The sequence below is a fragment of the Homo sapiens genome, chromosome 2 (assembly GCF_000001405.40).
Source record: "Homo sapiens chromosome 2, GRCh38.p14 Primary Assembly".
Lineage (NCBI taxonomy): Eukaryota > Metazoa > Chordata > Mammalia > Primates > Hominidae > Homo > Homo sapiens.
In genome coordinates, this window is record NC_000002.12 from 182,971,952 (window position 1) to 182,985,843 (window position 13,892).

The following is a 13,892-nucleotide window of genomic DNA, read 5'->3' on the forward strand; positions in this document are numbered from 1 at the left end:
ATGACACTACTAGAAGAAAACACTGGTGAAACATGCCAGAATATTGGTCTGGTCAAAGATTTCTTGAGTTAGACCTCAAAAGCCACAGTGAACAAAAGCAAAAAAATGGATAAATAGGATCACATTAAGCTAAAAAGCTCCTGCACAACAAAGAAGGAAACAATCAGCACAGTGAAGAGACAACCTATAGAATGAGAGAAAATATCTACGAACTATTCAACAGACAAGGCATTAACAATCAGAATATATAAGGAACTCAAACAGCTTAATAGCAAAAAAAAAAAAAAAAAAAAACAAAACTGATTTTAAAAATGGGCAAAAGAGCTAAACAGACATTTCTCAAAAGAAGACATACAGGTGGCCAACAGATATATTTTTAAACTGCTCCCCATCAGAGAAATGCAAATTAAAACCACAATGAGACATCATCTCACCCCAGTTAAAATGGCTATTATCAAAAAACAGAAAATAAATGCTAACGAGGATGTGGAGACAGGGGAACTCTCATATACTGCAGGTGGGAATGTGAATTAGTAGAGCCGCTATTGAAAACAGTAGTGTCTGAGGTTCCTCAAAAATTTGAAAATAGATCCAGCAATCACACTGCTGGGTATATATCCAAAAGAGAGGAAATCAACATACTGAAGAAGTATTTGCACTCCCATGTTTATTGCAGCAATATTCACAATCGTCAAGATATGGAACCCAACCCAAGTGTCTATCAATAGATAAATGGTAAATATATACACAATGGAATATTATTATGCCATAAAAAATGAAATCCTGTCTGTTGCAACAACATAGACGGAACTGGAAGAAATTATGTTAAGTGAAATAAGCCAGGCACAGAAAAACAAATGTCACATGTTCTTACTCCTAAGTGGATGCTAAATAAATTGATCTCATGGACGCAGAGAATAGTATGATGGTTATAAGAAGCTGAGTAGGGAAGGTAGGAAGTGGGAATAAAGAAGGATTGGTTAATGGGTACAAAAGTACAGTTAGGAGGAATAAGAACTAGTATAGCACAATGGGGCAACTATAGTTAATAATTTTCTGCATCTTTCAAAATAACCAGAAGAGTAGATTTGGAATGTTTCCAATATGATGATATGTGTTTGAGGTGATGAAATATTCCCACTACCCAGATTTGTTCATTATACACTGTATGCTTGTATCAAAATATCACATGTACCCCCATAAATATGTACAACTATTATGTATTCATAAAAATTTAAAATTAAAAAAATTAAATCAGAATTTAAATAACATTGTGAAAACAAATTCAGAAGAAATGGATGGTAACAAAACAAGATAATGATTTAACTGCTTGACAACAATGGGGGGAGAAACATGTTACTAAAAAAGAATAGGTTTAAGTAAAAGAATATAAACAATTTGAATAAATTAGAAGACAGACGAGAGAAGATATTTGAAAGAGCAACTAAAAATGCTTAAGGGACTGATGGAATACACAACAGAATGAGATCACTTAGGAAGTAGAAAAGAATGACAAAAATACAAAGAGAATTCTTAAGAGTAGGAAAAGGACAGAGAAAGATGAAAGTGACCTATAAAAAAGCAATGACCTTAGAACCAAACTAAATAGGACACCAGTGAAGGCACAAAGTACACTACTAAAATTCTCCCAAAGGCTTACTCTTCTGGTCTGCTCTACTCAACCACTACTGGCTATCTATAGAACTCTTCACCACTCTCTGGCCATGTGCTTTTACCTAACAATTCTTGCACTTCTACCTGAAACCAAAGGTCAGTGATCAAAGGCAGATCATTCATAGTTCTTGTGAATATTTTCCCCTTCTTACAGTAATCCTTTATACTCAAAAGTCTCTTTACTTGCTCTTTACTCATTGTTTGTCCTTTCCTTTTTCCTATTCAAAGCAATTTTAACTTGAAAAATGCTTTATCCCTTCTAAGACTGAAATTAACTGATAAACATATTCTGTCTATGACATCTCTTAATCTTTCAGATTTTCAGCTGCTATTTTTTACATTTTTTATGCTTTGTCTCCATAGCTAGATTATAAAATCCTCAAAAGATGAATGTGCTATTTTTCTACAGATTATATAATACTGCTCAGTATTTTATCTTCTGTATCCTACAGTCTAATCTGTAGGCTTGGAACTTTCACCTTTGAGCTGCTTTTCAATACCTATGTAAACCTTCTAGATTCTGGACCCTGCCTGCTACCTTGCACTTTTGTTCTCTACTTCTAGTGAACACTTCTCTGGCTTAGTGTTATGTCCCATTCTTTCCTTCCTTTGTATGCATTGTCCTGTTGTCACTAAAAAAAAAAAAAAAAAAAAAAGGGTCTGTATGCAGTAGAAAGGGTCTGAGTGACTGCATGTTCTAAACGTGGTTAACAGCAATGTTATGCATTGAATTGTATCCCCGAAGAAAAGATGTGCCTAAATCCTAACCCCCAGTACCTCAGAATGTGACCTTATTTGGAATTAGGGTCTTTCCAGAGCTAAGCACATAAAAATGAGGTCATTTGAATGGGACCTAATCAAATATAACTGGTAGCCCTATAAAAAGGGAAAATTTGAACATGAAATATGCAAAGAGGAAAAATGAAGTGAAGAAACACAGGGAGAATGCCTTTAGAGTAATGCAACTACAAGCAAGGAACAACAAAGATTACCAGCAAATCACCAGAAGCTAGGAGAGAGAGATGGAAGAGGTTCTCCCTTGCAGTCCTTGAAACAAACCAACCCTGCCAACACCTTGCTTTCAGACTGCCAGCCTTCAGAACTATGAAATAATACATTTCTATTGTTTAAGCCATCTAGTTGGTACTTTGTTATGGCAGCCCTAGGAAACTAACACAAGTAGGTATAGATTACATGAAAAAAAAATCAGATAGCTAGCTAATAATGCTCTTATAAAAATCTTAAAAAACTTTAAAAATCTACACATAGGAATAATCAGGTCTACATTCTTCATGTTCACTCAATGCTTTTTATTTTGCAGTGACTGAAAAAGGCTAAAATTCTCACATGAATAACTCAAATGTAAGGGTGCATCTGAAATGCATCTAAATCTCTAAAATTCTCTGAGCCCAAGTATTGGTTTAGGCACTCCTATAAACCCAGAACAGGAGATTGAAGCAGTTCAAGCTTTATGACAATGACTTTCAAAGTTTTAAACATGTATATCCTTTGGCAGAGGAAATTCCACTTCTTTTTTTTACAAGTTCTACTTTTGTATTGTTTCATTGCCTTTTTAAAAACAAAGAGGTGTCAATTTTAAAACTTTATTTGTAATAAGAAAATAACCTATAATATATACACATTTAACATTTTGGGATGTTGGTATTTCAAGTGTACTTCCCTGATCTCCCACTAACTGGTAAGGTATTTAATGCTTTTATTTATAAAAGTCTTCATTTCTAAAAATAAGCTCCCTAGAGAATATAGAACAAAAAAGAGAAAAGTGCTTATGCATTTTGAGGTTGGAAGGAAAGAACCTAAGAAAAGCAAAAGCACCTCAGAGTACTAAGCAGACCGCCAGAAAAGTATGGTCATCCTGAGAGTCATTCCTGAGACTGTATCCATCTAAAAATGGCTTCCACAAAAAAATACTTCTTATATTTTCTCTTTTTAATTAAACAAATAGAAATTTTATTTATTTATTTTTAACAGCAAAACAGGCCAGGCACTGTGGCTCATGCCTGTAATCCCAGCACTTTGGGAGGCTGAGGTGAGAAGATCACCGAGGCCAGGAGTCTGAGATCAGCCTGGACAACATAGCAAGATTCAGTCTCTAAAATTTTTTTTTAATTAGCTGGGTGTGGTGGCTTGCACTTATAGTCCCAGCTATTCAGGAGGCTGATGTGGGAGCACTGCCTGAACATACGAGCCTGAGGTTACAGTGAGCTATAACCATACCACTGCACTCTAGCCTGGGTGACAGGGCAAGACCCTGCCTCTAAAACATAAATAAATAAGTAAATATTTTTTTAAAAAGACAAAAATAAATAGCAAAACAGTACATAGTACTATCTAATTTACTTGTTTGAACATCTAAAAAAATATAGGCCAGTTATTAAAAGTGAGTATTTCTGGAGAATGAAACTGGGAAAGGGGCAAACTGAATGTTTTGACTTCACAATGAGTCAAATGACTATATTATCATTTAAAAATATATGGATTTTTAAAACATGCACATTATTGAGAACACTGGGCCATTTTCCCATAATTACTTAAAATATTTACAGGGCAACTAATTTTTATCATTAAGGTTACAGTATACACCAAGGTGTTAGGCTTGCATTCTTAATGCCTTTAGGAACTATTTATATGAGACATATATTAAATGAACACTCTAAGTCTAATAATATTTATTTGTTTTTCAGAAAATGGAAGTTTTTTGTACAGATCGTGGTGGTAAACTATGGCCTGTGGGCTACCTGCTTGTTTTTATAAATAGTTTTACTGGAATACAGCCATGCCCATTAAGTTATGTATTGTCTATAGGTGCTCTCACACTGCAATGGCAGAGTGCAATCATGATGACGGAGACTATATGGCTGCAAGCCTAAAATTTTTTAGCAGCTGTTTCTTTATTAGAAAAAGTTTGCTGATGCCCACAGTAGATTTTAAATATTTTCTCAGAAAAGATTTTGTGCTTTCACTTTAGAATTAAATATTTGAATCAGGATAATCAAGAGAGAGATTGGGATTTAAATTTTTAGATATTTTAAAATTATAATAATCTATTCAAAAACTCATATTGGCTTAAGTTATTAATATATTTATCCAACTTTAATAATTAGTACAAAATGTTTCTTTTATGGTTAATTATACAAAAGAAATATTTTCAATAGGTATATAACAATGAATATTTTATAGTTGTTATAAAATTTTTCATGTTAACTAAAATAACAAAACAGAATGACAATAAAAGGTTATTCTTACCTGTAACCTAAACCAATCTAATCTCATTCCTCTGAAATCAAATACTTCCCCATCTTCAACTGTAGTAATAGAAAAAAAAAAAAGATTACAAAGCAAATTAATGTTTTCACAATCTATAAGCACATTTTAAATTTTAAGAGCTAAGACAATTCTACTTCTGAGTATACCTAAAACAATTAAAGCCAAGGTCTTAAAGAGATATATGTACACCCATGTTCACAGAAGAATTATTCAAACAGTCAAAGGTAGAAGCAACTTAAATTTCCATTGATAGATGAATGAATAAACAAAATGTAGTATCTAAATACAATGGAGGCCGGGAGCAGTGTCTCATGCCTATAATCCCAGCACTTTGGGAGGCCGAGGCAGGTGGGTCACCTAAGGGTCAGGAGTTTGAGACTAGCCTGGCCAACGTAGTGAAACCCCATCTCTACTAAAAATACAAAAATTAGCTGGGTGTGGTGGTGCGTGCCTGTAGTCCCAGCTACTCGGGAGACTAAGGTGGGACAATTGCTTGAACCTGGGAGGCAGAGGTTACAGTAAGCCGAGATTGTACCACAGCACTCCAGCCTGGGCAACAGAGCGGGACTGGGTCTCAAAAATAAAATAAATAAATATCATGCACTATTATTCTGCTAAAAAAGAAAGGAAATTCTGACACATGCTACTATGGCTGAACTTGAGGACATTAAGCCTAGTGAAATTAGCCAGTCACAGCAAGACAAATACTCTGTGATTCCACTTATATGAGGTATCTAGAGCAGTCATGCTCACAGAAACAGAAAGTTGAATGGAGGTTGCCAGGGGCTAGCAGGAAAGGGAAATGGCACACTGTTGTTCAATAATCATTAAAAGAATTTGTTTTGCAAGATGAAAATGTTTTGGAGATTGGTTGTACAACAATATGAATATACTTAACACTACTGAACTATACACTCAAAAATGGTTAAGATGGTCAATTTTATGTGTATTTTACAATTAAAAAATAAAAACATTTTAAAATTAAAGAGTGAAGACAGTGAAACAATTCTCAAATCCTGTAAAGATGATGATAAAGGAGACAGTTGTGCTAAGGGAAGTAAAGGCTTTTCTCCTAAGCTCTCTGATTCTTAGTGTGCTTACATGTCAATTTACAGGAGTTTGAATAGAATTTGAGAGATCCTACGAATAGAAACTTTGGACAGCATGCTGAAGTTCCACAAAATAACTCTATATAAACCAAATATCACCAGAAAAAATTACTTTAGTTTCATTACTTAGATGTGGTAGCAATAAAGATTGAACTAAGAAAAATGTTTATACATTTATTACTCAGAAGTTTTCAAGGTTTCTGATATCCTTTATTAAAAGACTATAAAACTAAAACACACTATCGATCCACTAGAATGGAGTGTCAAATAATGGCAAGGTGATTATATGACATCAATTTTTGAGATTGACAGATTTGAGCTCAAATTCCTACTTTTGCTTAACAGCTATTAGAGCTTGGCAAATTATGTTCAGTAACTGCGAGGTTAACCCTCAAACCCAGAGTTTCCAAATCTGTCAAAAGTAATAACAGTGTTGAAAAAAGAATGTGGAGTAAATGGGATAATATATATGTAAAGTGCCTGGCACAGACTAAACATTTTATAAATGGCATTAAATATTGTTATTGGTATGCTTGGACCAAATATATGATTTGCTACAAAATGCAAATGTTTTATTGTTTTTGTTACAAAATGCTTTTTTTCCTGCTTAATAATTAGAAATATAAAACTGTAATTATTATTTTTGTAAATAGCATCACAAACCCATTTTGGAAATCTTTGCTTCAGAGAACAAAATTAAGATAAAAGATAATAGATCATTAGCCAAATTAATTGGTAAATTATCTCCTTAATAATCAAGTTTGAAAATCTAATTAGAAGAAAATATGCTTTTATTTAAAAGGCTTATTACCTTGTTTTACACTTAGGGAAGTCATAGTGTTAACAAAAGAGGACATGATGATTGATTCATCTTCAGGGCAAACAGAAAGATTCTGAAAAACAAACAAAAAGTAACGTTAAAAACATCTATAGTTGGGAAACAACTCAGGTCTATCAATTAGTGGACGGATAAACAAACTGGTATACCCATACTATGGAATATTTTTCAGTAATAAAAAAGAAATGAAATTTTAACACACACCATAACACGAATCTCAAAACCATTACATTAAGTGAAAGAAATAAAAAATAAATGATTTTGTGTTAAAAAGTAATTTTTTCATACACTATATAGGAAAATTTATATGAAAAAGTATTTTTAAGGCGAAAGTATAATGACAAACACCAGTTGCTGTCAGGGGCTTATGCAAGAATGATGAAGGTGTACCATAAGGGTGTATAAGTAAACTTTTAAAGGTGTTGGAAAAGTTCTGTCTTGAATATGGTGATGGTAATAGTTGCACAAATGCATACAGCTACCAAAATTTACAACATGCACTAAAAATGAATGATTTTTGTTGTCTGTATGTTAGGCCTCAACAAAATTAAGACCTAAAAATCCTTTTCAATCTAGCTTAAAAAATGAATATTTGATAAACTGTATTTAAAGTGGATGCTAAAAAATAAATTCCTTTTAAAAAGTGGATGCTTAGCTTACAAACAGTATAAATAAAACACATTTTTAAAACTTTATGATGCGAGTGAACTGTACACTTAAAAATCATGAAAATGGTAAATTTTGTTACATATATTTTACCACAATAAAATATTAACACCTATTGCAATCAACTATGCTAACAGGTTTACAACCTTAGTTCTAAATTTATATGCTAGCAAATGGTGAAAAACATTGTGAATATACTTTGCAACAGAAGAGGGTGGTAAAATGCTCAGGCTTTGGAGTCAAAACTTGAGTTTGACTACTGGCTTTATTACTTATGAGCTGTATTGGTGATAAGGAGCAAATTACATAAGGCATTTCTTCTTCAACAAATAATGATAACTATATCCACTCTCACAGAGGTTTTCTACAGATTTGGTAAGATACACTATCAATAAATCTGGCAATTACTAATATCAGTATGATTGCTGCTGATACTATACTATTACTATAATTCCAGAAGAAATGCTAAGAATTAATCTTCTCAGTATTAGTAAACTCCACTTTATATAAAAATAGATTAAGTAATTCAGGAATTCTGGTTTACTTTTTAAACTGTATGCTAGTATGAATAAATAATAAACAGTAACAAAAGCTTCTGGCTTATCTGTTAAGTAATAACTATTCAAATAAAATTATAGTAAGGCAATAATACCCCAGGTTTTCTGTTCCCTTTTTAAATGACCATAGAAAAGAAGTATCTGAGCTCCATCTAGTGGATAAAAGAAGAAATAAACTATAGAGTTTAGAATACTAGCTTGTAACAGCATGTAACTCAAGGTAAAAAAAATTACATGAACAATTTTTTTCCTTATTATATTTTTAGGTTGATTTGAAAAAAATGAGATCTTCAAAGTATGGTTATTTCTCTGGAAAACTAGCAGCTTTAGAGAAGTCTTTATATAAAGAGGATTCTTAACTGTTTTCTTTATACTATGTATTAGCTTACAGTCATTTGAAACATGTAATTCTATAAAGTGAAGCAAAATAAAATATTATTTCCTTAGAGTCAGTTTATTTGGAATAAAAAGTTTTTTAAATTTAAATAAAGATGAAAAATATTGAATAAATAAATTATGGAAAGCAAAAAAAGGCTAAAAACCAATTAAGGAAAAAAAATTGGACATTTAAATGGGAATGTCTATATGAAATCTTTATTTACTGGCCATCCTCTAACAATCTTCTTCAAAAAGATTTTTATTCTACTTTCCCTCTAATACTTAATTACCAATTATATTGTCTCTATCATCTCTTCTGAATCTCCATAGCTACTGCCCATGTTCAGACTCTCATCACCTCTCATCTAGCCTACTGCAGTCATTTTTCTTCTGGTCTCTCTGCCTCCTCATTTGGTTCCCAGCAATCTACCATCCACACTGAACCAGGGTGATCTTTTTAAGTAGTACACCTGATTTATGATTAACCTCCTCTTTCCCAAGGCCCTCTGTAATTTGGTTAGCGTACACCTCCATCTTCAGGATAAATAATTGTGTCTTTCCTTGTGTTCATTCTGAGCTTTATATATACTTAATGCATAACACCTATCACATTGGACTACAACTAACTGTTTCTTCCCTTCTAGGTAATGATCTCCAAAATATAAACATGATTTATCACTTGGCACATGATATTTCATAAATGCTTGTTGAACAAACAAATAAAATACTATCAAAGGTGGGAAGGAAGGAACAAAAGGGAAATAGTATGAGATAGTTTTTACCTGCACGAGTTCATTGAGGACAACAGCATCAAAGCCAGAAAGGTACTGCACGTAATACCTCTGCATTACAGGTCCGTATTTCCTCACATGTGCTCTAAGTTCTTCCATGTAAAATATTAATTCAGCAATGTGCCTTTTTTAAAATTTCAAGAAAAATATTCAAATAATAAATTCATCATTATTAAAGAATATATTCGATGCCCTTAATCTTATTTCTAAAAGTATTTTTCTTATAAAGGGCATTGTTTAATACTTAATGTCAATTACTTCCTTTTTAAATCATTTCATGAATAAAGAAATCATGGAAAGCAAGAAAAAAAGAAGAAAGAAAAAAAGTTAAAGCTAAAAATCGACAGCAGAAAATCCAAACTGAAAATAAGCAGGGCCGGGCACAGTGGCTCACGACTGTAATTACAGCACTTTGGGAGGCCAAAGCGGGCTGATCACATGAGGTCAGGGGTTCAAAACCAGCCTGGCCAACATGGTAAAATCCCATCTCTACTAAAAATACAAAAGTTAGCTGGGCATGGTGGTGGGTGTCTGTAATCCCAGCTACTTGGGAGGCTGAGACAGGAGAATCACTTGAACCCAGGAGGTTGAGGTTGCAGTAAGGCAAGATGGCATCACTGCACTCCAGCCTGGGTGACAGAGTAAAACTCCGTCTCAAAAAAAAAAAAAAAAAAAAAATTTAAATTAAAAAAATAAACAGGACATGTTATAAATACATCATCAAAAAATCTCAAATAAAAGAAGATTAGCAAGAAATAAAATTTTTCTGTATGCTCTTATTTCTCTGCTCCATTTTTCTAACTCTTATTGAGAGACTGAACTAAAATAAGACACATTTTAATGACACACTGAGTTGCAACTCTAAAAACAGGATTTTTATTTAAATGTTTTGTGTAGTAAATAGTTTTAAAAAATGAATTCCATAAGAAATATTACTGAGCATAGCAAGAAAACAAAAACTTTATCACCACAAAGCATACTACGAGAAAATAAAAGCCCTAATTTAAAACTAAATTTGACTTTGCAGTCTAATTAATATCATCTAATGATATATTACAAATATTCCAAGCTCTTCAAAATAATTTTGCTTCAAATATAAGTCTCCAGATTCCCCAGCCCACAAATCAGAATATAGATGGTGCACAACTTACAGTGATTTGGATGTACTATCTTTCTAATTTACAATGGTGCAGAAGAGATACACATTTAGTACAAATTGTACTTTGAATTTTGACTTTTTTTCCAGGCTAGCAATAGGCAGTATGATACTCTCTCATGATGCTGCCGTAGTTCCCAGTCAACTATGTGATCAGAAAGATAAACAACCTATACTCTTCAGTGTACTATGTTGCCAGATAATTTTGCCCAACTGTAGGCTAATAAAAGAGTTCTGAGCACATTGAAGGTAGGCTAGGCTAAGCTCTAATGTTCAGTAATAATAGGTGTACTAAATGAATTTCAACTTAACAATATTTTCAACTTACAATAGGTCTATCAGGACATAACCCCATTGTAAATCAAGAAGCATCTATATACAGAAAATATTTTTTTAAATGTTGCTAACTTACTTATCTATAAAGTCGTCTGCACTCTTCTTTGGCATGTTATCTGCATGACGAAGTAGCCAGATGATTTCATCACGGGCAAAGGATAATGCCATAAAAACAAAAAGTGCCTGTTTAAAAAAAAGTAAGTGTTTATTCTTATTCAAAGATTAAAAACAAAACTGGTAATCTCTTTCTATGTGAAAAGTCATTGGCAAGAAGTGATAATATCAATTCAAAAGAGTGAAGAGACTAACAGAAGAGGACACAAGAGAACCTGTAAGTATGTATGAGAGAGAGCATGCATATAAGGGAGAAGAATGCAGGGAGGTACGATGTATGAATGTCAAGTCAGCAAATTCATTCTCCACTAAATATAAAAATCCTTTTATGTAGTCCCTGACTCAAATTTCAGTAAAATTTCACTTAGAAACGTTTTTTAAAATTTTAATATGGCACAATTATTGAAATAATAATTAAATGAATTACCTTGGGACCTAGCAATCCAGGTTGATCAGAGAGGACAGTAGCCAATTCCTTCAGTGCAGATCTTAAAAACTTGCGTCTTTCTCTGTGCATTGAACCACTATGGGGAAAGACACCATAATAGTTTATCTGCTTCTACTAAAATTATTATTGGCAATTAAAGTAACTAGCATTATAGGTGCAACTTCCAAAGTCTTTTTTTAGGAAGCCAAAGTTCCTATAAAAATCATCTTCTATGTGTCTATCGTTAAGTGAGTTTCTAATCTTACATTTATCCTGCCTTTCTTATGTTGCTTTTTAAACTATGTTTCTTTTGTTATTCTCCATCTATCAAAATCCTACCCAACCTTCAAGACCAGTCCTTCAAGAAGCATTTCCCAACATCTAGCTATTTATTTATGAATAATTTATCCAATTTTAGTACCATGTAGCTTTAAGCACTTTATAGACTATGAAGTTCTTGATGGTGACCAGGCACAGTGGCCCATGCCTGTAATCCCAGCACTTTGGGAGACCAACTTGGGCAGACTGCGTGAGCTCAGGAGTTCGAGACCAGCCTGGGCAACATGACAAAACTCCGTCTCTACTAAAAATACAAAACATTAGCCAGGTGTGGTGGGTGCCTGTAATCCCAGCTACTTGGGAGGCTGAGGCAGGAAAATCACTTGAGCCCAGGAGGCAGAGGTTGCAGTGAGCTGAGATCATGCCACTGCACTCCAGCCTGGGTGACAGAGCAAGACTCCACCTCAAAAAAAAAAAAAAATCCTTGAAGGCAAAAACTGACTAACTGTATACATTTTTGTCACTTCCATAAAGAAATTAATAAATAGAACTTAAGTATCTGGTTATCTATATTCTTATTAAGTTATATTCCTATTAAATATACAAAACTGAATACACAAGAGCTATAGTCAATAAAGGTATTGGGATGAGAGCTACTTGGCACTCTTGTTCAAAAATAGAAAGATGGGGAAAGGAAGGGATAATCATAAATATTCATATACTACTTATTTTAAAATTAAGATTAGAAAACATTCTCACATATTAACAGAAGGAAAAAAAATCATAAAATGTTCCAAGCAACTCCTCATACTACACAAAATATACACTGCTCCAAGAAAGTTTTAGAATTTAGATTGGGGTGTGTGTGTGTGTGTGTGTGTGTGTGTTGCCTATGCCAAAAACCCAAGTATAAAGAATACACACCACTAGTAATTTCGCTGTGACACAGTAGATCAGTTTCAGAGGACTCAAATTAAAATCCATCCTCTCCCTACATGACCTTAGGTTCCAACTCTAAGTTTCAGTTTTTCATCTGTAGAATAAGTATGATGACATCTGTCTCAAAAGATGCACAATCTTTCATGATGCCTGATATATAGTGCTTCTGTTACTTTAATTTCAATGACAAGCTCTTTTTACTGACAATAATAAAGTCATCGTGTCATTTCCAAGAAGAAAATGAACAAATGTTATTTTGATTATTTTACTTCACAGGATTACTGTGAGGAGTCTGTGATGGTTATTGGGAGAAAATGTCTATAAAGTACTTGGGCCTGGCACATGGTAATGAGTCCTAGAAGTTACCACTGCTTACTACTTATATTTTATTTAATAAACAGAAGGAGGAAAATAAAAATACCTTAATTGTAAAAGATCTTTATAAAAGATAGCTATGCCTATATGTCTGCCTATAGTAGCGTCTATCCCACGAAGAAATAATAATTATGTGCATTTCTGCAAGTCTAGAGAGGAATTCTAACAAACTCCAAAGTACGTTATCTGCACTAGAAATCATTTTTGAAAAATTAAGCACATGTACTTCATTCAAGTAAATAAAATATGCATGAGGAATGATATAGCACAGATACGATGAGTAAAGATGGTTTAAATTCCCAATATCTTATAGCCTAAACTGAAATTTTAAAACTTCCTGTGGTTTTATAGTTTTCGCTATGGAGTGTTGCTTGTCTTCTCTCTGCCTTATATAGAAATACTGATAGATCAAATAATATTATCTGTATATAGTACCTAAGTTAACTGGAGAAAATATTCTATATTAAGTATATCATATATGTAACAAAGTGAAATATCAAATTATTTAGAATTATTTTATGAGAAAACTGGAAAGTTGTTCAAAGATTTAAAATACACTAATTTCTCACTTAGGATATCTATATATTTACTAATATAAGAAATTAAAATTGGGAAAGAGGTGTACTCTTAAAAGTAAATATTTGCCGGGCACGGTGGCTCATGCCTGTAATGCCAGCACTTTGGGAGGCCAAGGCAGGCTGATCACTGAGGTCAGGAGTTCAAGACCAGTCTAGCCAACATGGTGAAAACCTGTCTCTACTAAAAATACAAAAATTAGCTGGGAATGTACGGCGGGTGCCTGTAATCCCAGTGACGCAGGAGGCTGAGGCAGGAGAATTGCTTGAACCCGGGAGGTGGAGACTGCAGTGAGCCGAGATGGTATCACTGCACTCCAGCCTGGGTGACAGAGTGAGACTGTCTCAAAAAAAAAAAAAAAAAAGTAAATATTATCTGTAAGAGTTATA

At 33.3% G+C, this 13,892-nt stretch overlaps 1 protein-coding gene across 4 annotated transcripts in view; it reads right to left on the reverse strand.

Moving 5' to 3' along the window:
• The window catches only part of NCKAP1 (NCK associated protein 1), a 129,343-nt gene that overhangs the window by 62,837 nt on the left and 52,614 nt on the right, over window positions 1-13,892 (reverse strand). For all 4 annotated transcript variants that reach the window (NM_001437266.1, NM_013436.5, NM_001437267.1 and 1 more), the window contains 5 exons: window positions 11,335-11,431; window positions 10,870-10,976; window positions 9,293-9,425; window positions 6,883-6,964; window positions 4,942-5,000 (listed from right to left, as the gene is read on the reverse strand). In NM_001437266.1, the coding sequence (NP_001424195.1) occupies window positions 4,942-5,000; window positions 6,883-6,964; window positions 9,293-9,425; window positions 10,870-10,976; window positions 11,335-11,431 (478 nt within the window). The remainder of the gene's footprint in view (window positions 1-4,941; window positions 5,001-6,882; window positions 6,965-9,292; window positions 9,426-10,869; window positions 10,977-11,334; window positions 11,432-13,892) is intronic.